General features: G+C 34.3%; 1 protein-coding gene across 23 annotated transcripts in view; it reads left to right on the forward strand.

Moving 5' to 3' along the window:
• CNTN6 (contactin 6) overlaps positions 1-25,009 on the forward strand; it is a 311,194-nt gene that overhangs the window by 246,175 nt on the left and 40,010 nt on the right. For 22 of the 23 annotated variants that reach the window (XM_011533590.3, NM_001349351.2, NM_001349354.2 and 19 more), the window contains one exon: positions 13,126-13,253. In XM_011533590.3, coding sequence (XP_011531892.1) covers positions 13,126-13,253 — 128 coding nt within the window. Of the gene's footprint in view, positions 1-13,125; positions 13,254-19,276; positions 21,278-25,009 lie in introns of those variants that run through there. The other variant, XM_017006177.3, reaches the window with a different exon arrangement.

The raw sequence follows: 25,009 nt of genomic DNA on the forward strand, positions 1-25,009 counted from the left end.
TAATGTCCCGGAGGGAGAACCAGAACCCCACTCAATGCCCTCCTCAATCCCTCTCACCCTAAATCTCCATGGTGTGCCCTAGAAATCCCCTAGCTCTCCAAGGAGCATAGTTTGAGGACTACTAATTTGTAGTGACAAATCTGATTCTCAAGTGTGACTTGCCAAACGATTCATTTATTTATAAGTATAGTGGCAAACCAATTTGACGGGCGTTGTGAAAGATTCTGGGTTTATAACTTGAATGAGCTCAGAGTCTCCTGGGGAAGGCAGACAAGCCCACAGCTCCGGTGCAGTGGGGCATGTGTCACCACTAACATGTGAAGAGAGTGAGGGCAATTCACTAACTTGGCTTACAGGAGTCTAGAAAGGTTTCAACAGGTTGCAGGTAACTGAACTGGCAGTTGAAGAGTGAGTGGGAATTTTTCCTGGAAGAGAAAAGTGGGAGGTACAGGCTTATTACGAGACTGTCTTACTGTATATTTGGTATCCAGACTTGGTGTCATTTCAGAATTTTGGGTACAGATTTCCCTTCCTCAATACAAGACACACTTCTCCCGTGAGTCCTCTAAATGCAAGTAAAGGGTACTCAAATCATTTTGCAAGGCATCCAAGAATTGACTCTTTGACTACTCAAGGAATGCTTGGATATACCTAATAACATATATTTTAATTCTATCTCCAATTAAATTAACCAAATACACCCATAAATCTATCCTCCCCATATTTAACCATGAGTTTCATTATATAAGAATAATAATGATGATGATATATCCATTTATATGCTATCCATCAAGGGCAGATAGTGTGTTAAGATGTTTGATACATCATTTCGTTAAATTTTTACAACATACCTATGAGAGGCATTTATTCATATTTTTAGATGAGTAAAACTAAGGCTTAGAGAAGTTCAGCATCATACCGCGATCAGTAAGTGATAGAAAAACATTCAGTTCTGAGAAGCTCTGACTCAAAGCCTTGTATAATCTTAAACACAACACTGCAGGATTTTAATGAGATTTCTGGTGTCTATATGTGGAATTCAAGGCAGTCCTTCATAATATACACATTTTTTTGTTTCTTCAGAGTTATACTAAAAAAATCTTCTGAAAATAGTGATATGCAAGGTAAAACTCTATCTTTATGTCACTAAAAGGTATAGAATAAGTCAACATGTTGTCCAAATACTGATAGATGGAGTCTTATTTATTCACATCAATACAAAAATATCAGTTCTTTCAGTGGCACAGCATCGTGAATACACAATGTTCGGAAGACTGATTGGATTTTTAACGTAACATACAATGTAATTTTTGATGGCATGGAGAGGTAGATATGTAAATTCAGTAAGCAGGTTAAAGTCGCTAAGCCCCACAAAGGAATTAAAATAGGTATAAGACTGTGTATTATAACTAAGAAGAAAGAGTTAAAGTTAGCAGACAAAGAGTCACACCCAGGTTGGTCCCCTATTCTCAGCCACTTTTGTAAACCTAATTTTGTAGACTCTGAGGAATGCTATAATTCAGTAGCCAAAGGGAATCCAGGATTGGAAATTCCACTAGCATCCATCACTTTCAAAACCATGTTCTATCTTGATACTCAAGTTTTCAGATACTCATGTCCTGAAATCATCAGATTACAGGGAGCTGGAGTGAAAGGGTTAATAATCATTAGCGTTCCAGCCCTGTTCTCTCACCTTTTTATATGTGAGGGAAGCCGAGAACCTTAAGTTTCAAGTTGGTGGTTTAAGGTCATCTGACTTGAATCTCATCTGTCTATCCCAAAGCTTTCAGCAGAAACAACTTTACATTTATAAAACTTCAAAGCCCTGAGGAAATCACACAATAGGTTCATAGTCATAAATGTAATAATAGCATAGGCAGAATGTCCTCACAATGTTCAGACTTCTCCATTCTGTTCTGCATAACTCTCTCCTCTATTGTATTTTCAATGTGTTCTCCTCTAGTAACTTTGGGAGCATAGTTTGTTGGTTTTTTTTTTTTAATTTATTTCTTTAAAGTCCTGCATTCACACATTTTTGTGTCCTTTGCCAACTTCATACTTTCTAGTCTTTTCTTTTGATTTACTTGGGCTATAAGGCATGTTAGCATATGAATCTATGTTAATTCTCTTTTGTGTTTTCTCAGGCATCCCAAAATGCTGCAGCGAATGGAGACACTTTATCTTTCCCTTCTTCTACTGAAGAGCTAAATATTTCTCTTTGGCCTATTTCACTGGATTAATTTAGTTAGGCTTTCCATCTGATGCTGTTTTGTTAATGTTAAATTGTATTTCCTTAACATTTTATGGGAGTCAGCATAGCAGCACACTCTGGCATGCCATCAGAATAAAGACACATCATGGCACCAAATAATTACGCTATTTAGCAACTGCTCTTACCTACCATCTCCTAATTTGTGCCATAATTCAGTCACCGTGAATCTGTGTTTGTGTTGCGTCAGCCACTACAAAGATCACACTTAAATTTTTTGTGTATATTAAACAAGGTGACACATTATGATAAATTTAGAGGTCTGAATATTTGATGCTTCCTTTCTGCTTTGGAGTTTAAGACAGTTGAACCAAAGACTTAAGATGGAATCATTTGTTCACTCCAGTAATTACGCACTAGTTGTAAATACAATTACAGACACTAAGAATTCTGAAAAAGTAGAAACGGGCACCAGTAACGTTCTCATTTAAATTAAAATGTATTTGAGTCTATTTCTAATATCTAGGTAACCCCTCTGAACAACTATTTGCTAATAAAACCCTTTCAGTTAACTACCTAAAGACCCTGAATCATCCTTGAAAAATCAGTTAATGGGAAGTATATCCTTAGCTATTTAATAGTTAAAAATATGTATTTCTCGATTTTGTTGAAGAGTTGCCAAAAAAAAGTAACATAAAAGTACTCAGGTCTATTTCTTTTGTTTGTTTGTTTGTTTGTTTGTGGTGGAGTCTCCCTCTTTCACCCAGGCTTGAGTGTAGTGGCACGATCTCGGCTCACTGCAACCTCCGCCTTCCGGGTTCAAGCAATTCTTATTCATCAGCCTCTGGAATAGCTGGGATTACAGGCGAGCGCCACCACACCCGGCTAATTTTTGTATTTTTAGTAGGGAAGGGGTTTCACCATGTTGTTCAGGCTGGTCTCGAACTCCTGACCTAGTTATCTGCCCACCTCAGCCTCCCAAAGCGTTGGGATTAAAGGTGTGAGCCACCCTGCCTGGCCTGTCTGTTTCTTTTATAAGCACTTGCTTTCCAGCAAAACATAGCAAATTGGATTTATTTGTTACCTGTTTATGATGTCACTTCATGTAGGTTTTCATTTTTGTTTCCTTTCCTTTCCCTCTTCCTACGGCCCATAAATATTTAATTACACTCTGCCTAATATAACTCAATACAGCTGCCCAAAGGAACACTATTATTTGCCTGGAGCTAGGACAGAGGCTAAAAAAAATACTAGAGATCTTATTGCGACAATTCTGTGAATCAGATGAATATTTAGGAACCACCAAACGGGGTCTATATTGTTATAATAATTAAAAACATTTTACTCTGGCTTGTATTATACCCTTTAGTTTCATGATCAGAACTGAAAAAAAATAATGATTAAGATTTGTTTTATACACCAAGTCTTATCCTAGTGATTTGAATGTAGAGTTGACCGTTGGACAACGGGGATTGAACTGTGCAGGTCTATTTATACTTGAGTTTTTTTCATTAAAAGTTATACTGACTGTGCCTGCCTCTCCTGCCTCTCCTTTCACCTCCTCCACCTCTTTCACCTTTGCCACTCCTAAGAGAGTGAGACCGGACACCTCCTCTTCCTCCTTCTCCTCAGCCTACTCAGTGTCAAGATGATGAAGAACTTTATTATGATCCTCTTCCACATAATAAATAGTAAATATGTTTTCTCTTCCTTATGATTTTCTTAGTAACATGATATCTTCTCTAGCTGACTTTATTGTAAAAATACATTGTATAATGCATATAACATACAAAACTTGTTCATGGACTGTTTATGTTATCAGTAAGGCTGCTGGTCAGTTGGAGACTATTAGTAGTTAATTTTAGGAAGTCAAAAGTTACAGGTGGAATTTCAACTCTGTGAGAATGTTGGCACCCCAACCCCTGCATTGTTCAAAGGCCAACTCCATTTCTTTGCATCAACTTTTGTACTGCTTTAAGGGGCATCAGCAAACTAACAGAAAGTCACTTCAATGATCAAATAACCACATTGTTTATAAGTATAAAGTTTATACTCCTTATTTATACTTATAAATAATGTGGTTGTTTGACTAAATCGCTTTCTGTTAGGGGACTGAATTGATTGATAATATTGACAAATATACATCTGGCTCTAGAAACAAAAGGCTGAATATTTAACAGCAAATGCAATCAGAAAAATGCATATTTATTAAGTACCTGCTAACTGTTGGGCTTCTTGGAGAATATAAACAAATAAAGAATATTAGCTACTACCTTGGGACACCCATTATGCTCTAGGCTCTCTCTCTCTATATATATATAGCATAATGTATTTAATTCTCAAAACAAGATGATGATGTTATTACTACTCATATCCCCATTCTATATAAAGTTGGCATAGAAATCAAGCAACTGCTCCTAAATTAACATGGCCAAAAACAGAAACTCAGGCACATATTCAAAGTGATCTGACTTTAGAGTCCATGGTCTTATAATCCCTGTATCACCTGCCTCAAACAAACCTTAGCTTTTACAGCATATTTGGAGAGCAAAAACTTATCTAAAAAGAAAATTAAAAGTACAAGACAGTAAAATGATTTAGATAATGACTCAGTAGAAAAAACACTGACTCCGTATCAGAAGACCTGTATCGGGGCTGCGGTTAAGTTAGTTATTGAATCTCCCTGCATCTCAGTTTTTTGATGTGGGGAGAAAGCATATCGTGAACTCTAGTGACTGGAGAAGGATGTGATAGAGAAAGCTGTATATCTTGGTGGGGTTCCGCAGGAAACAGTGCTCAGTTCTGCTTCTCAGGGAGGTCCACCTGCAGGGCAGCAATGGATGATTGTATCTTACTGCACACCTGCTGCCTCACTTCAAGCCATAGTCACATCATTGGTAGCTTGACATCGTAGGTTGTCAGCTACATAGGTTGCTTCCAGACAGGCTGTATAGAGAAACCACTTGGGAACAGTCTGTGGAAGGAAAGAAAAAGGGATTAATTTACCTGACTGCCCCTTTGCTGGTGGAGCTGCTTTACCTGAACCTTTGACAGTCAGTGGAACTGAGAGAACCTAAAAGATTTCATAAGGTGTGTCTGAAACACTGGGAATCAAAGAAGGTTTTGGAGGGTGAATGGGATTCAGATAAGCAGATTGGAGAGTGAAACCTCTGCTAGATACGAGGAGAAGAGAGTTTAGGCTTTTGTCTGGCAGGTTCTGTGAAGGAGGGTACTCAAAGAAAGATTTGCAAATTATAAACATTTGTTTCCTCTTTGGGACTCACACAACTCTTCCCTGAAAATAAATATTTGTGTTCTTTCCCCAAAGTCAGACAAAATAAAAGAGATGAATATAATATTTAACAGTCCTTTCTATAAATTTTCCTGAATTTTTTGATATGTGTTTCCTCTTGTTCAGAACTGATTAACAATTGTCTGTGCCTGTGCTTTGCTGAAAGTGTGATCTACGTTACTTGGTACAGTGGCCAGATTTAGGTTTGTTTCCTCTGGTCCCTCGATCATGTCTCTCTTGAGACAGTACTTCATTTTCACTTCATCTCTGTCTCTTTTGCTTTTTTTCATTTTTACTACATTGATGATCTTATAAGGACTGATAAATTAGGTTTTCATCAATCCACTGATTAAATCTTTGAATTTTGCCTGGACAGGGGTATCAGATGTTCTCTGTGTTTAACTACTTATGTACAATTACTTTTTTTTTTTTTTTGAGACAGGGTCTCACTTAGTCCACCAGGCTGTAGTGCGGTGGCACGATCTTGGCCTACTGCAACCTCCACCTCCCGGGCTCAAGTGATTCTCCCGCCTCAGCCTCCTGAGTAGCTGAAATTACAGGCACGAACCACCATACCCGCTAATTTTTGTATTTTCAGTACAGACGGGGTTTCACCATATTGGCCAGTCTGGTCTCGAACTCCTGACCTCAAGTGATTCACCCACCCTGGCCTCCCAGTGTGCTGGGATTACAGGCATGAACCACCATGCCCAGCCATACAATTACTTATAATTAAAGTTACTGACATAAAATGATGGAAAGGACAACCTTTATTTTGATTTAAATGAGCAAACTTTGTAATTTACTTGTTTGTAGATTGACTTTTTATGTGGTTTGTTAAAATAAGAAATTTTTAAAAGATAGCTTATTAAATGACAGTGACATTAGCATAGATATTACACATTAACTATAATAATTGGGTGCAAAAATCATTAAAATGCAATATTAATATTTAATCTAAAACAGATTCCGGTGGGACATTTTACCACAATATCAGTATTTGATCTAAAATAGATTCCAGTGGGAGATTTTACCTAAAACTTAAATTGTGAACAGGAAGAATTTATACCCACATTTCTATTTCTTATCTAACTCATTTTAATAAAATCAATTTTACATTTTCCAAATATCAGTAAAATTAGAGAATCAATTAAAATTTCATGGTCTACAGCATTATCTTTAGACAGAACTGGAAGCAATACTCCAGTTAATAATCTAACTATAAAAATAGCAGTATTGCTCTAGTTTCAGCAATAAGAAATTATAATTGCCCGATGACCTGATTTTTTTTTTTTTTAGTTTAAGAAATTTAGCTATTTCTAATCCTCTTTGTCCTCAAACTTTGTACAAAGTTATGGTTGATACCAAACAAAAAATCTGGAGCATTTCTTATTTTCCATTCACACCTTGGAATCTACATGTACAGATCTGTTTTCTGTATGTAAATAAATTAAGGATTGGGTAGATATTAGATTTGTTATAGTGACAAAAAAGGATGTGAATGTTAATCTCTATTGTATTGAAATAGTTTAGTTAATTATGAACAGGTATTAGTTCATACAATGCAGGTGCTATCGTTTGGATATGGATTGTCCCCACTAAAACTCATATTGAAATTTTATCTTCCATGTGGCAGTTTTGGGAGGTGGAGCCTGTTTGGGCCTTGGGGACAGATCCCTCCTTAATGCATTAATGCCCTCCCTCTGGGTTGAGTGAGTTCTTGCTCTCTTGAGAATAGATTTGTTCCTGCTCTCTTGGGAATAGATTTGTTCCTGCTAGACAGCGTTTTAAAAGAGTCTGGCTTCCTCAGTCTCTCTCTCTTACTTCCCCTCTTGCCATGTGACCTCTTTGTACACACCAGTTTCTTTCTGCTTTTTGCCATGAGTTGAAGCAGCCTGAGAACCTCACCAGCTGCAGCTGCCCAACCGTGAGCCTTCCAGCCACCAGAATCATGAGCCAAATAAACCATTTTTCTTTATAAATTACTGAGTCTCAGGGAGTCTGATAGAGCAACACTAAATGGACTAAGACACCGGAAAAACGAGGGTAAAATATTCCGCATTAGTCTCGATGTAGTTCCTTAAAGTAACACAAAATCTGATGCACATGCTGCGGGTAAAGAAGCCCTCCAAGTGGATGTGATGTGATCCTTCTCCTTCCTGGTGTTCTGTTCATAATGACCCATCAAATAGAAGGTAATAGGTACAAAGTCAGGCAAATGGGTAGGACATCTGTTACTTTTGTTTTCTGTGTAGGACTACCTACCTTCCCTGACAGTGGGAAGATTAAAATGTCGCATGTTCAGCTGCTCTTTAAAAATCTGCCTTCAACTTATCAGTTAAACTTGAAATATTTATACGTTATTGGCTTAGTTTTGTACATGCTCTATATTCTAAAGCCACTATAAAATCTACCCAGTGTCACTTAACTGTCAGACACAGCTTGTTCTTCTGAATTTTGACTCATAATGCATTAGAGGAATTGCATGGTACAATACAAACGCTATTAATTTTTCTATTAGTTGAATAGTCATACTATATCTACACATATAAATGCCTTTAAATTCTAATTTTACAGAACATTTTAAATGCAAATGCTATAATCAGTGATTTAATTATCTAAACAGAATATTGAGGTTTGGTAATTTGGGGAAAATTTTTCTATTTAATTGTGTGAACAGTTAAAATATTCTAATTAAGTGGATATTAGAGAATAAAGACATGAGAGAAATGGCGTTATCACTAAACTTATTGAGGAAATAAGGAGGAAACATACCAACACCGTAAGTCAAATGTCAGAATTTGGTGATGCCAAAACCAAGGAGAGTCTGGGGACTGATAACCAGAGCTTAGTTAAAGCCACATAACATGCTTCTGAGTCCAGCCATAGGCAAGAATTTTAAGAAGACATTAGGCATGAGCAACAAACAGAGTGAGAATCAGAAATAGTAACTGGAGTCTTGGAAGAGAGAAAATGTCAAATATTAGTATCAGCTAAGAATAAGAATTAGATTAATATCTAGCATTTAATTAACTTTTACAGCAATCACATTATTATTCCTAAAATAAAAATTAGAGCATTGTAGATCAAAAAGATTAAGTAGCTAAGAACACAGACAAGAGGTTGCATGAATTCACGGAAGGGTTTTAAGCAGTGAAACTTAATGCTGAGGACAGTTTTGCTGGCATTAGACTCCTTTCGAAAAGCCCAGATATAGTTCTCAGGCCTCTTTGTTCAAAATGCAGTGTGATAAAACAATTTCTTCTTTCCTTGTTTATTCCTCATGGAGTTATAGATATGCCTACATTCTTAGGCAGGATGAGAAATCAGTTCATTGAAAGCCTACCTATTGACTGCTAATGGAGTCCGGTACAGTGCTAAGCATTTTGAACGATTTATATCAATTAATCCTCATGACTCTGTGACACAGGTAATATTAGTATTTCTATGCTATAGACAAAAAAAAAAAAAAAAAAAGGACTTGGGCCATTAGTTAACTTGGCCCAGTAACACAAAAATCAAATGTTGGGATTCAGATTCGATCATAAGTAGTTTGTCCTCAAAGCCCAAGTTTTTATCCACTCTGCTAATTACACCATAATTGCACAGGATGGCACAAGAAAAGAGGAAAAACAATCCTTAGTATTAGCATGACCATTATTAGTACCTCACGTGTTAAGATATCTATGGTTAAAACTCTCTTCCAGAGCAGGGGAACGGATATTAAGCCTGTCTTTAAGATGCCACATAAACTAAGAATCTTGAGAAAATGCACATACATGTACATAAATGTTGCATCACATTTTAGAGAGTTATTAGACTCTGAAGGTCAGATTTTAAATCTTCAATATTAAAGGTCATTCTATGCAAATAAAATTATACATACATATATACACACATATGTACATGCACATATAGCTTAAATTTATGCTGCTTTTAGTAACTCTGCTATTAGTAAACTATATTTTGGAAGTGAACTAAAACGGAACTTGCTAAAATAAGTGTTTTCTGGTCTGAAGAAAGATATGGTTAGAATCTGAGCCCTCCGCCATCTAGTGGGTACCTTGAGTCACTTATTGCTTCTCTTTATGCCTGTTTCCTGATTTATAAAATAGGGGTGCAAACAATACCTAGCCCAGAAGTTTGTCTTAAGCATTCGATGAGTTGACATTTATTACACACTTACTAGAGGGCCTGTGCAGAACCAGCTCCCTATAATATGTCATAGCCTCCATAAATTTATAACAATGAGTTTTAATATGGAAAAGAGCACCTTTAACATCTAACACTTTTTATTTTCGCATCCCCATTGTAACACCTAACATACCGTTTCAAACACAGTAGACATTTAGAAAGTATTTGCTGATTAAGAAGGAAAAAATATCTTAACATTGCTCCAGTTTCAATCATGTATTTAAACTGCTGTTGAATTTTTGGAAGTCTCCCATCATTTCATGGTGCTCACAAATTTCCACACATATTTTTATGACTCATTATATATTAGTAGTATAACTTCAACCTTAAATCCTCATATAATAATATACATATAATATGTAATCATGGTATTACCTTCTGCTTTTTTCCCTGTAACTATATGCTTTGTACTAATCATTCATGCAAATCTCTACTTTTATTATCAGAATATTTTTCCTGCTTTTTACAGATAGCCAAGCTTATCTATTCTTCTGGCTGTGTGTGTTTTTTTTTAAATGCCAGAGAAGCATATATGCAAATGAAGGTAGAATATTTTAATGTCGTTCATTGATATGTTATTACCAATCCTTGAGATAAAGTATCTTTTTTGCATATTGTAAAAGAAGAATAGAAAAAAATCAGTCTCTCTCTATGAATGTTACCAAAACCATCAATTAAAATGTTCCAGTTAATTCTTACATGTGCATTTTGCCTTATCTGAAAATGCCAATTGCTCAGTGCCATTTGATCTTCACTGAGTGTTCCTTCTTTTGGCTTTTTTAAAATCATTTCTGCTAAGACGTGTTTAGATATGTTAAAAAACTGGAAATTCTTTTATAGTTTTTGTTTAATTTTTTCTTAATAAAATTAAGACAATGATCAGGTTGTTTAATTCTGTTTATATTGTCATGAGATTAATTTTTTTACCATATTTTAATATCTCATTAATTAAAGGAGAAATCTAAGTGATACATTCAAATATCTGTACTGTTTGTTATGCCATAAAATCTTTAGTTATGATTAAATCTTTGAATGTCTATATCCTAGATCAACAGAGAGAACTTTTAAAGTTTATTTTAATAAATCATAAATCAATTTGGTTACTAGTTTGGCTATTTTTATAAAACATTTAAAATGTATGTTATTATTCTTTTATAAATTATTTTCATAAGATCATAAGTAAGATGTAGTCTTACTTTGAAGTAAAGAAAAAATTTTCAGATTAAAGTTTAATAGTAAATAGATCAGTACTTCTCAAACTTAATTGTACATGCTAGTCACTGTATGTACTACAGTGCATAGGGTGTCTTGTGAAAATGCAGTTTGATTCATTAGGTCTGGGATAAGACCACATTTTGAGGAGTAAACACATGGAATATCTTTAGGGCATCTAGTGATGACTCTGCTGAAACTTCTTGGACCATATAATTAACATGCAGAATTATTTTACTAAACGTAAGGCAAAGTAATGGTTCTGGAAAAAGCCTGAGTACTAGGATAATTAGATATAACTTCATTCTCTCCTACTTAGCTAGTTAGTCTAGGGCAGATTTTAACTTTTCTTAGTTTGCTCTCTCAGTACCTTAAACAGTAGTAAGTACTTAAGAAATATTGATGTGTTGATTAGGATTTCATAGAAATAATCAGCCTCAATGATGGCAATTTCAACTCGATTTAGCAAACATTGAAGACCTACTGAGCCTGAAAGGGGTAGTATACTCAGGGTACCACTGCACACTTGAATTATTCCTTTCTGGAAGTTATGTGAAAAATTATATGAAATATAGACATTGGCATTGACTTAGTGGCTGGAAAACTTTCTTGGTGGCCTTTAGATATCAGCAGACCTATCATTTCTGTCATGTGTTTTTTATTGGCCAATAGTTCAGGTTTCTGTGTTGCTCAATATTCCTAGTTATTCCTAAATGTTAGGGGTAGATGCACCCAAAAGCTTCTCACATTTACCTCTTATAATTCAAATCAGATAAAGAATTATATTTGGCCTGAGTTTGGTGCATAATAGAATAGTTTTGTTACTCTGTCAATAATGGCATAATTCAATTGTTAATGTAAATTGGGATCTAGTACACTAGACATCTCAGAAATTAAATAAGACATTAAATGTCTGCTATGGGAGAATACTCTAAGATAATGACTTTAAAAAATCTGATTATATGCCATGGAACATTCTAAATTCAGATGTGGCTCCTTCCACTCACTGATAACAGAATTTGGAATCTGTTATTAATAATAAATCCAACGTCAGAAGCTGGCTTCCTGCAAATTGTCGTTGGCTGGTATTCTCTGTGTTTCAAATTGAGTAATTAATTATATTAGCTACATTTTGTGTTATACATATATTAGAAACAACGATATGTTTGCAATGCAGCAAATACTATTTTGTTATTGTTAATGGATATGGCATGCATGCCAATTGTCTAGCCTTTCTTGCCTTTAAAACTGTTGTTAAAAATTAGTATGTTGTCACACATTTTGATACAATCTTGACTACCTACTAATGTTTTTAAAAGGTTGGTAACTACATTTGTAAGATATAAAATATGGTAGCCTAAAATTGGACGAATATTTTTGTTTTTACATTTTTTCAGTCTCCTCTTATTACATTTGATGGTGAATTTTTCAGGGAACAAATCTCAGGGTTTTTTTTTTTTTTCTGATTTCAGTGGCATTGTGCTTTAGACTATGCTAGAGTTTCAGAGAAAATTTAATATGGATTATTTTATGAAAGATGGGAACTTCTTTGGCAGATGAACCTCCTTTTTGTACTCTCTCTTTTAGGAATATTAATATTAATTCATAATTAACCCATGAAGCCTTATTCTTTCTACTTCTTCCTTCCTCTTTTTGATGGGATAGCCACATAATAAGCATGGCCCTCTGGCCATGGAACCATATAGATAGTTTCTTCAACTCATCAGCACTGGCAAATACTGTCGTGGTTCAACACCCCATTCTGTGGCCACAGAAAATGCTGACAGACCACGTTTAAAAAGACACAGACTAATTGTGAAAATTAGCTTGCATTTCTCCTAAGCCAAGTTCAATTTTTGCCAGTGAGTTGACTTTGGAAAATACAGAGTAAATAGTTGCATTTCTTATTCATCAAGCAACTTGACATTATACTACCAAGCACTGCTTTTATTTTTAATATGCTTTGAAATCGACAATGATAATTCAAGTTATAGAATGATAATTATCAATATCGTGTCAGAATAAAAGCAAATGCCATTTACTGTAATATGTAGACTCAGAGATAGCTCACAATGAAGAACAGAATAATAGGAAAGGAAAAAATTCATATTATCACATACACCCATGATTTTAGTAAAGTTTTAAAATAAAAATAAGCACTTATGATTTACCAGTGTTGAAGAGCCTTACTTCTATTAATGATGTATTTTCTTTTTAGAATATTTCTCTTGGAGGATGGCAGCCTCAAGATATATAATATTACCAGGTCAGATGCTGGATCATATACATGCATAGCCACAAATCAGTTTGGCACTGCAAAGAACACTGGCAGCCTCATTGTAAAAGGTATCATATTATCTTCATTTGTGCTTGATGAACATTGTAAATATGCAGGCATATTATGACTTGTGTTATGGTGTCAAACCTGTACCATATTGTGTATGTAAAATTGTTGATTTCACAAGTTATCTAAGAGATCCATTCCCGTACTCATTAATAACATGCACACTTTGCCAGTGGGATACCATGGTAGATGTGAATACTTTGGCAATTGAAAATGCTGTCAGAGTGTCATTCGAGTTAAAACCTACACCTAAATTATTTGGCTTTTTACATAAGCCTTAATGTTAGGGGCCATGGACGTTTTGATAAAGTCACTGGATAACATTTTTTTGGTCAAATATCTTTCAGAATCTTTATTTTTATTTGAAATATTTACATGTATATAAGGCTACCAAATACATAACTGGCTAATTTGTTTATATAACTCCAGGTACAAAACTAATGAAATGCAGGGTCACAACCTTTAGTAAGCAGTTCTTTTCAAAGAGAAAAAATTAAAATCTGTGTGAATCATTATTATATTTTCATCACAGTAAGCAGATAAACTCATACAATTTATAGAGATAAATTCTATACTTTACTTTTAAGATTTCTAAATCAGTATCAATCCAAATGTTCCTACATTTATCACCAAGGACATAATTAATATTAGAAGTATCTATTCCCTTTCCTTGCTGCTTTATTTTGTTGAATCTCAGCTCATAAAACTAGTGTGTTTACTGGAAGCTGTATCACTTCTATCATTTCATTGCCTCCTGGATGATAAAAATGGCTCTCTTGATAAAGCAGTTTAAGCAGCTAATTAAGCCCAAATGATTAAAATCAGCATTTGGTGCTTTCTCATCTTTTCCATTAAAATAAATATATTCAATAAAAAGTAGTTAGCTGCTACACTTCAACCATCCTTTAAAATATCTCAAGGAAAATAAACACCCACCTTTGAGCCTGGAAGATATTTCTGCCAACTTGTCTCAAGCGTATTACATTATGACGACAATTGTCTGAAGTATTCTGGGGAAATGTGACTGATAAAACTTGGTGTGTCAAAATCCAACCAGTATGGCATATTTTGAAAAACTTCTCTTCCTTAAGATTGTATTGTCATCAATTTTTAAGACAGAGATGGACTTAAGTGTTTCAAGATAGATGTTATGGCTATATTTAGGAACAGACTATTTCTCCAGCAAATTTTTGGCAATACTCAGACACTGAAAAATGTGAATGCTTTATATTTGGAAAAGTAACAAGTTCATTAACGGGAAAAAAAGATATTTATTATATCATTTCAAATTAAGAAGGTGTAGGTAGTATGCAAATTTTATTACAGCAGAAGATTAAAATGTGGTGAAGGATAAAAAGGCATTTTGCAGTTAAATCTTCTAGGTATGGAAAAATCCAGAGGGCATTAAAACGTGAAATAGAAGGGATAGAAAACATCAGCAGTAGCAATGTAGTTTTTAAAAGAAAGTTTCTTTAGAATACTGGTGATCTGGGAGGAGGGCCAATGGTTTTGCTGTTAAAATACAATGATGGGGATTCCTTCACTCTGGAGGATAAGAAAAACACAAGTTAATGGTAGATTGAACTGAATGAATAGGCACTCTTCCTCCAGTGTTTCTTAAACTTTGACATCATAATATTCACAGTCCACTAATAACTGATGAAAGAAAAATAAAAGGTGACGGCTAACAAAAATACTAACTGAGAAACTCGGAAGCCACTGGACTGCATTCTGGATGTAACATTTGCATATTTCAGATGTGTAATATAGCCATGTTTTCTGCAAGTTAGGTTCCTAGTACTTATGATAGAAATAAGTTTATCTACACTTTCAAGTATTCCATAAATCTAACCATAATCCCCAGCTACTCTGCTCTTTCCATAGGTAAAACAATAATTAATCAAGATAGCTCAGTTAACAAAAAAAAAAAAAAAAGCCTGACTTACATTTTTGTTTGTTCATTTCTAGTGCTCTTTGCTGAGGTTGTTGAAACAAAATTATCCCACTAGGCATTCCTTGTTACCTTAATCAGTTCCACTCTTTCTTCTTCTGTACCACTTTTTATCTTCTTACGAACTGTATAACTGACTTACTTATTATGGTTTTTTTTCTTGTCTTTTCTTCCCTTCTAGAACAGAAGCATAAAGAGGGCAGGGATTTTTGTTTTAATCAATGATGAATCATAAATCCTAGAACATTGCTGGGAACTGTATGTGCCCAGTAAATATTTATTGATTTAATAAAATGTTATTATCTTATGCAGCTTAGTTCATAGGGATATTTTTCATACTGGCTTCCTTGCTCTAAAATCGGACAGTTTTCAATTTTTCAGGGTCTGAGCTTCTTAGGACACTTTGCAAAAAAAGAACATCAAAGAAAAAAACCAACCTTTTTACATGCATTCACTTTCTAATTGTAGGGTTTGTAATCTTTTATTTCTGACAGACATCGATCACCTCACTCTCCTAAGGGGGTACAAGCCTGAACCTACATCGAAATCCAAAAATTCGTGAAGAGAATTCATTGTTTTGGTATTTCTAGCACAGTACAGGAGAATAACTCACATATACAAAAAGGGTACATGATAACATAACTGATGTCACTATGCCTGATTATCAAGTTACTTTCATGCATTTACACCTAATAATGGGAAGGAAATTTTGCTATATTTTAACCTTCATGACACATCCACATCCCATTTTAAGTGGACTTTGGGGTCTTTTGCTTCTTTGTCATTAACAAGAACTATCCTATGCAATATAAACATGTACATACTTAACCACACAAATACATATAAATAAAATAAACACAAAATGTGTGTACAGTATGAAGAAAAACAGCCTTAGAAAGTTGCTTTATTATTTATCTGTAATGTTTAATCTTTATGAAATTGTGTGACTGTCATACAAGCACAGTTCTAAGTCTATTATTACCATGTCCTCTTAACTAGACTGTTATCTCTAATTCCCTTTCATATAAAAATGTTGAAGACATCACTGCCAAGGAATTATTATTTTACAACCTACAAATTTGAAGCCTAGCATAGGAAAAAATTATAATAGTGTACATCAATTCAACCATTTTCTTGACTATTGGGTGTATAGTCATCTGGTTGTTTCTTAAGATGGCTTAATAGTTGTGTATATATGTATGTGTATTTTCTCATCAGTAATATTCATATGATTGCTGTTACAGAATCAAATATAATTTTGTTTCTCAAGCCAAAATCAGTGTATAGTGACCTTAAGAGTAATAGAGTGTTAAGGAGCAAATGAGAAATCTCAGTAAAGCTGATAAAACAATCATCTCCCTTTGAATTTACTTATCAGCCTCTGTCATGCAAGAAATGTTGTTGTTAGATAACATGGAAAAGATAATAGTTACAAGAGTGAGATATTTTCCAGCTTAGTTTTTAGCTGATATGGCTTATCTCTGTTAAGAGGATTCTGAAGTTATCTGCACTGTATGTTGGAAATTTCTATTTCACTAATACAGCAGGATAAGGCGATTTTCCATTCAAACATTGTGAGTGCAATTAGCAGCAGCTTTTCCAGCGCCTCAGAAGATGCCCAGTATAATTTAAGGACATGTTTCAGAGGCACAAACAAGGAATCAAGAGGAAAGAGAGTTTACGTGTTTTCATTTTGGAGGACTGAGATTAAAATTACAATGTGTACATACACTAAGAGGTATATGAAAATCACATAAAAGGAGAAATTATTTGATCTGGCATTTGGAAAATTATTAAAAAGCAGAGTAACAGCAGGCTATAAAAATGATCTTGTTTGCAGGCAACATTTGTTTTTGTTTCCCCACTGGAGAAGTTTTGGATGTTCAATTATAGGCCTCATTGCTTCAGTGTTATTTTCAACTGAAATGTCGGAACTTGGAAAAGCATATCTAATGTGCAAATTAAGTTTATTGCTGCTCATTTAGTTGTTTATTCTTCGTGATAGAAGTCTTTATTATACCAGCATTACAGAGTGGCCTATCCATTTTCTCCAGCAGAATGATACGGGTCTAAGTTTACTAAGAGAAATGCCCAAGATATGTAGATAATTGGAGGCTTCGTGGCTCTAGAAGGCAGTTTGAAGGATTTGAGGTATCAAGCTCAGCTTTATTGACAAGCCCAGTTTGATTGAGCAGACCAAAAGTACACTTTCAGAGAAATGACAAGATGTATTGGAATACATTTGTCATATCGTAGTACTTGAAAACACCAGAGAAGTCTCCAGCAGCACTAAAATCTCCCCAAAAATGTTCAGTTCCACACGCCACTTTCCTACACAGAATGACTGAAAGCATTTCAACAGAATGAACATTTGATTTAAAAATTAGTGATGGTAAAAATTACTTTCAAGGTGAGAAAATATATAAGGAGTTATTATACTGGTCAGATGAAAAAATTTCCTGTTCCAATATTGAAAGTGATGCTGCGTGAATTATTGAAACGTGAATACTACAATCTCTTCAAGTAAAAATGTAAAAACAAGCAAAAACACGCATCAATTTAAGCAAGCCCACTAAGATCAATGTTGTCTTGGTCTTCATGAAAATTTAGTTCACAATCTTTTTTAAAATGCAGCATATGTCACTCAGATTAAATTACCACATATGACATATAGCTGTGTTTTTTCTTAATGTATATTTTACAAAATATAATGTAAAGGATAGATGTTAATACAGCATAGGTTTTACCACTTTTTTCAAGATATTTTTACTGCATAGTTTAAACCTATTATTGGTCAAAGTTTTGTTTAATTTTGATAAAAATAGGGGGTGTATAGCTAGTGGTTTATGCCAGTTGAAGGAGACCAGACACAGAAGAGTATAGAACTCTTACTAAAGTGGTCAATACACAGCCTCTGGAATTATATTAACCTGCCATTACTAACTAACGTGGAACTTGACGACTTAGTTTTTATGGTTATTCATCTTGTTTTCTTTATTATTATTATTCATTACTATTTGTTAAATACATTCTCTGTCCTAGGCACCATGATAGGTTCTTTGTGTATATCATCTCATTTCAACTTTCAGAGTAATGCTTTGAAGCAGATATTATTATCTCAATTTTATACAAGGGAGATTGAGGAATAGGTTGCTAAAACCACTTGCCCAAGGTCCCTGCATTAGTAAGTGGCAGAACTTTAGCTTTCCTTCTTTTCCATCTTCCAACAAATGTACATATTAAAAAATGCATGAGACAATTTTACATCGCATTGTTCAAAGTCTAGCAGGAATAAAAGTATAGTAACATGCAGATATTAGTACTTCCTCCTAAATACCGCAGCCTTCATTCATTAGAGTGCAATTTTATATGTACATTTTTATATGTAAAAATTCATTTGAGTGCAATATTTATGTGCATTTACATTTTATTATATGTAAATTTTACATAAATGCACATTTATGTAAATGCACATTTATGTAAAATTTACATATAATAAAATACATAAATTTTAATGTATATTCACTAAATTTTGAAAATGGCATTTGTAACCCAAAACACACAAGATATAGAACATCATTATCATCCAACATCTAGAACTTTTTTTATGTCACTTAATCCTTGTTCCTACTACACTCCTAGAAGCAGCTACTGTAATAATTTTCTCACCATAGATTTCATTCAAATGCTACCTTATATTGTGTATTCTTTTGTGTTTGGTGTCATTCATACAGTATAAACCACTAGCTATCCATCTCCTATTTTTATTAAAATAAAAAAACACTTCAACCGATACGTTTATTCTGCAGGTAACTAAATGCATATATACATGTATGTATATATAAATCTCAAACTATTAAGTCTTTTTGATCTTTAGTTTCCTGCCCAAACCTGCAAACACTTGTGCTCACTTGTTTCTTGAGTTTTTAGTTAAGAATTGGAAATTTAGTAAATTTACCTTGACTCTATTCTGACCGTAAAAGAAGCAATTAGGCTACTCTTCTTCTTAGGCATTCTCTCTCTAAATTAGCTCAGTGGTCACTTATGCTCTAGGGCCATTTTTTTTTTTTTTAGGAATAAACTATGTCATTAAGATGGAAAAGACTTCCCCAGAAGCAAGCTATGTTTTCAGTCTCTGGATCCTGAATACTCAAGCAAGTAGTTACCAAATGCTTTCAAGTCCAAAAGAGGAATGGGGTTGAAGGGCGTGGAAGGGGAAAAAATAATCACATGAATCAAACTTAGCCTTATCCTCTTTTTTTGGGTTTTATTTTCTCATTTTGACTCCCTCATCCCAACATGAAACGTTCAGAAGAAAATATCATTTGTATTAACACCTATTGACAGGCACAATAAAAATTTCTACTTTCATCTTCTACAAAACTACAGGCTGGGTGTGGTGGCTCATGCCTGTAATCCCAGCACTTTGAAAGGCTGAGGTGGGAGGATTGCTTGAGACCAGGAGTTCAAGACCATGGCAAGACCTTATCTCTACTAAAAATAAGAAAAATTAGTAAGGCATGGTGGCATATGCCTGTTGTCCCAGCTACTTGGGAAGCTGAGATGGAAGGATCACTTGAGCTCAGAAATTCAAGATTGCAGTGAGCTATGATCATGCCACTGTACTCCAGCCTAGGCAATACAGCAAGATCCTGTCCCCCAAAACAAAAAAGGTACAGAAGTCTTCTATTGTATAATTCGCTACAGCCAGCATGAAGTTACTATTGGAGAATAGTCTGAATGAACACTATCTATTTATAAGAAATATAAATATGATGCCATAAATATGTAGTCACTGCCTATTATGTACTAATAGCTTTGAAACAGAGTAGTTGTCATATCTAATTTATTACACAGAATCTACAGAGCATGTTCTGTTTAAATAGATGTCAGGCCCTGCTTTGACTATTTGTTAATATAAAAGATCTGTGTTTACATTTTACAATATTATTTGCTAGGGAAATAGGGTAACATTGCATGTTTTCTCATTTAGACATCTCAACTTTTAGACAATGCTTTCTCTAGACTGGTTTTTCACTTGTTTCTTTTAATCTGGGGTTCTCAGTAGTCTTTTAATATTTATTCCAAACCATTTAAATGTTGAAGTAGTAAATAAATGAGTAATGGTACCTGAAGGTAAATTGGAATATATTGACCATGATTACTTTATGCATTGAAATTAAATTTTACTCTGTGGTGAAATATGATAAATGCTGCATGTAGATTTTAATCTGTAGATACACGTGTGAGCAGATAATCATGCACTTGTCTAAGAGGATATAAAACATTTTAGACTTACGGATTGTATTTGCAAAAAGGAAAAGCTTATTAACTAAAGACTAAAAACAACTCCTTTATTTCTGGCTTGCTACACCTGGAGAAATGAAGACCCCATCACACCGATTTCCTTGTTCGTTTGCCTGCTTTTCTCTGTCCAAGGTTTATTTCAGAGTATTAGCTTTGATTTTCCTGTGTTTGCTTTCCCTTCTTTTGTTCGTTTGCTTAGTTTTCTACGGACTTGCCAACAATTCATTTCCCAAATCTATCTCAATAGTCTCCCTTCAATATCAGCCTGCCCTGTGTGTTGACGCTCCATTGCCTAACTCCATGCCTTTCTGTTTCTTAACATACTCCTTCACTTTGGTTGATTAAACCTTCCAGTGGATTTTTGAGAAATAATCCAAGAGATATACAATTTTTTTAATCTTTCATGTTTGAAAGTGTCTTTATTCTGTGTTTACATTTTATTAGTGGTTTAGTTTGAAGTAGAATTCTAGACTGGAAGCCATTATTTCTCAGAAATTTTGAGCCGTTACTGTGCTCTGAAAGCCTAAACTTTGTTGATTTCTAATCTGTTGTTTGTGACACCTTTTCCCTCTTGTTCTCTAGAATTCTGTTTTCTCCAATGTTTGACAATTTCAAGATAATGTGTCATGTTTTAAATCTGTTATCAACTATTACACTGGGCATTTGGCAGGCTTTGTCGCTGTAGAAACTCATACTTCTTGGTCCTAAAATATCTTTCTGAATAATTTAATATTTTATTCCATTCCTTCTCCTAAAAGCCCTGTTATTTAAATGTTATATTTTCTAAACTGGTAGTCTAGTTTATGGTTATATTCATCTATATGTATGTATATAAACATACATGTATATTCTATACACATTCTATATATTCTATATACATGTATGTATACACGTATTTTTTTTCTTTTTTTCTCTCTTAGTCTTCATTTTATAGCTGTACCTACCCTTTGTATCTCATCCAGTTTTATGTTTCTAAATATTATCTATAAGTTAATTCCCAAACTCAAATCAAGCTAATTCCAGCTCAGATATTTCTCTTCAATCCCCAAATTCAACAGCCTATTTTATCATCTTCACTTACAAATTTACTATATCCTAACCTTGAACTCCTGATTCTTACTCCCCAAACTTGTTTCTACTGTCTTCTTTCTCCACTATATTAATGACAGTCTGCACTGACAGTTGTTTAGACCAAATCCTTGAGATTATTTTTAATTTTTTTCTTTCATTTAAACCCCATATTCAATTGCCCCAAAATGGTTTCAGCTTCAAGGTACATACAGAATCTAACCACTTCTCTCCGCTTCAATGACCAAACTTTAAGCCATGCCATCTCTTTCCCAGAGTATTGCTATAGCACAGAATGGCTCAACCAGGATGATTTTGTCTCCCAGGGGACATTGGCAAAATATGCAAATATTTTTGGTTTTCACAACTGAAGGGTCTCACCCGACCCCATCCGCTGCCTTGCACCACACACACGCTAAACCCACACCTTGACACACACAAGAAAAAATTATTTGGACCAACTGTTGATAAATGTTAAGCTTGGAAACCCAGTAATAGCTTCAAAAGCATTTGTCCTAATTCTTTGTTTCCCTTCTAGAAGCTACAATGTTGCTATTAAAATATAGGCAAGATTTTGTCACTCTTAGGACTGAAATCTTCTAATGGTTCTTCAGTTTGGTTTTGTTCCTTTTGTTCAGCATTCCTACTGATGTATAATTTGGAATAAGGTAAGGGTGCAATACTAATTAAATGGTTTTCAATAGATGATTGAATAAACAATTAGTACATTTCTATGTTAGGAATCTCTACTTCTGTCCAAAATTATACTTATTTCTTTCTCTAACTGACAGCAATTATCATACTCTTCAAGCTATTATCTAAAAACCTACTGATAAATGGCCTAAATATTTTTACCAATACACTTAATCTATTATGAAACATTAATAATAAAGGAGAATAATCTGTCTTAACTAGTTGAAGTAAGCTTATCACACCAACCTCCCACTGATGTTCACCACAAATATTGTTAAAATATTTAAAAATGAACAAAAACAGTTTTTTCAAGGAATTGTGACAACAGCCAAGGTGTTTGCAACATGAGGTGCAGAAGCCTGGAGAAAACAAAAGCACAGAGAGGTTAGCCCCACATTCCCTGCTGTTTTTCTTCTCAGAAATTTGTCAATTCCTAAGCAGTATAAATCAGGAATGAAGAAACCAATCAGAAAGTAGAAAACATCTCAGCAGAAATTTTGGTAGACTTACAGTGAAAGGGAGACACAAATAGAGGTTCAGAATAAACCAAATAGAATGAAGTCTGCTAAGCAGCTCAACCTTGAGTCAGGACATCTGAAGGACTATGTCCTAGTAAGAAACAAAACAAAATAAAATAAAATTGACCAGGACTTAAAATGACTAAGATCCAGACTCAATTCATATCAGTTTCGGACCAGCTTCTGGCTCTTTTTATAATTGCATGCTTGAAAAAGTAAATCTTCCCGGTACAAATATAACACTATAAAATCACTTACATTTTTGATCCACAACGTCTAGCATTCAATAAAACGTTACTAGGAATAACTGGAGCTATGACCAAATGACCAAAACTCAGAGAAAAAAACAGATAATAGTAACAGGTCACAGCGATAGAAATATTGAAGTTCTCAGACAAGGGCTTTAAAATAATTTTGATTAATATATTAAAAGATAGATGACAAGATGGAGAATTTCAGAAAGGAAATGGCATCTGTTAAAACTCCAATGGAAGTTCTAGAACTGACAATTGCAAGTGCTAACATTAAGAACAGAATACATTGATTTAACACAAGGATAGCTATAACAGAAAGAGGATTAGTAAAGGGGAGGATGCGTGAATAGAAAATGTCTAAACTGCAGCATGGAGAGAGAATAAAATGGGAAAGACAGAAAGTATCATAAGGAAAATATGGAATATAGTGAATAACTTTTAACATATATAAAATTGTTCCAAAAGGAGCAGAGAGGACAGAAAGAAAATTAGGCATGAGCAATATTTGAAGAAATATTTGCCAGATACTTTTTAAAAACTGAAAATGATAAGTATCCAATTCAAGAAATTATGTGAGTCCCAATTCAGACAAATGCAAAGGAAAGCCTAGCTAAGCACACAGTAGCAAAACTAAAGGGAAAAAAATCAGATAAAAAAGATACATTAAGTCAAAAAAACAAGACTAGCAGTTGATATAACAAAGAAAAAAGGAACCCAGAAGAAAATGAAATGACATTTTTAATGCGCTAAAGACAATACCAATAAGAATTCTATCCCTATTTAAAAATCCCCCCAAATAAAGACAAAATAAAGATGCTTTCAAACAAACAAAACCTGAGAGAATCCCCATCACTTAAAAAAATAAAAATTTCATATATTTAAGGGGTACAACACCTTAAATGTTTGACCTACTTATGTGCAATAAAGTGGTTACTATACTAAGCAACTTAACTTATGCATTTCCTCACATAGCTGCCTCTTTTGTGTGTGTCTCTGCGATGAGAACACCTGAAATCTAAACTCTTGGAAAGTTCTCAGTATACAATACAGTATTTATGATACAGTATACAGATATATATATACACAGATAACTGTATCATTGTGCTGTGCATTCTATCTCTAGACTTATTTGTTCTACATAACAATAACTTTGTACCTTTGACCAGAATCTTCCCATTTTCCTCACTTTTGTGCTCTCAGTGACCACCATTCTAGTATCTATTTGTATGTATTTGACTTTTTTTGATGCCACCTATAATTTAGATCATACAGGATTTTTCTTTCTGTGCCTGGCTTACTTCACCTAGCATAGTTCTTCCAGATTCTTCTATATTGTTGCAAATGGTAGTATCTCCTTCTTTTATAGAGCTGAATAATATCCCATTGTGTACACATGTCACAATTTATTTATCCATTCATCCACTGATGGACACTAGGTGATCTCCATATCTTAACTATCATGAATACTGCTGCAATGAACATGTGAGTGCAGATATTCCTTTGACTATTGATTTTATTTTCTTTGGATATATATCCACAAGAGGGATTGCTGGGTTGTATGGTATCTCTATTTTTAATTTTAGGGAACCCTCCATACTGTTTTCCATAATAGCTGTACCAATAAATATTCCCACCAACAGTATGTAAGAGCTCCCTTTTTCCACACCCTAGATAACAGTCATCTCTTGTCTTTTTGACAGTAGCCATCCTAACAGGTGTGATGTGACATCTCATCATGGTTTAGATTTGCATTTGCCTGATGATTTATGATGTTGAGCACATTTTCACATACCTATTGGCTATTTGTATGTCTTCTTTGGAAAACTGTCTATTTAATTCAGTTTCTACAGTTGGAAGGAAAACCATGTATATAGAGGAAGTAATAAAGAGCAACGGAAAGGACTAATATCTTAATATGTAGCGTAATTTGAGATTCTGAGGAATTCATTAGAAAAAAGACCAATTTT

This window comes from Homo sapiens, chromosome 3 (assembly GCF_000001405.40).
Source record: "Homo sapiens chromosome 3, GRCh38.p14 Primary Assembly".
Lineage (NCBI taxonomy): Eukaryota > Metazoa > Chordata > Mammalia > Primates > Hominidae > Homo > Homo sapiens.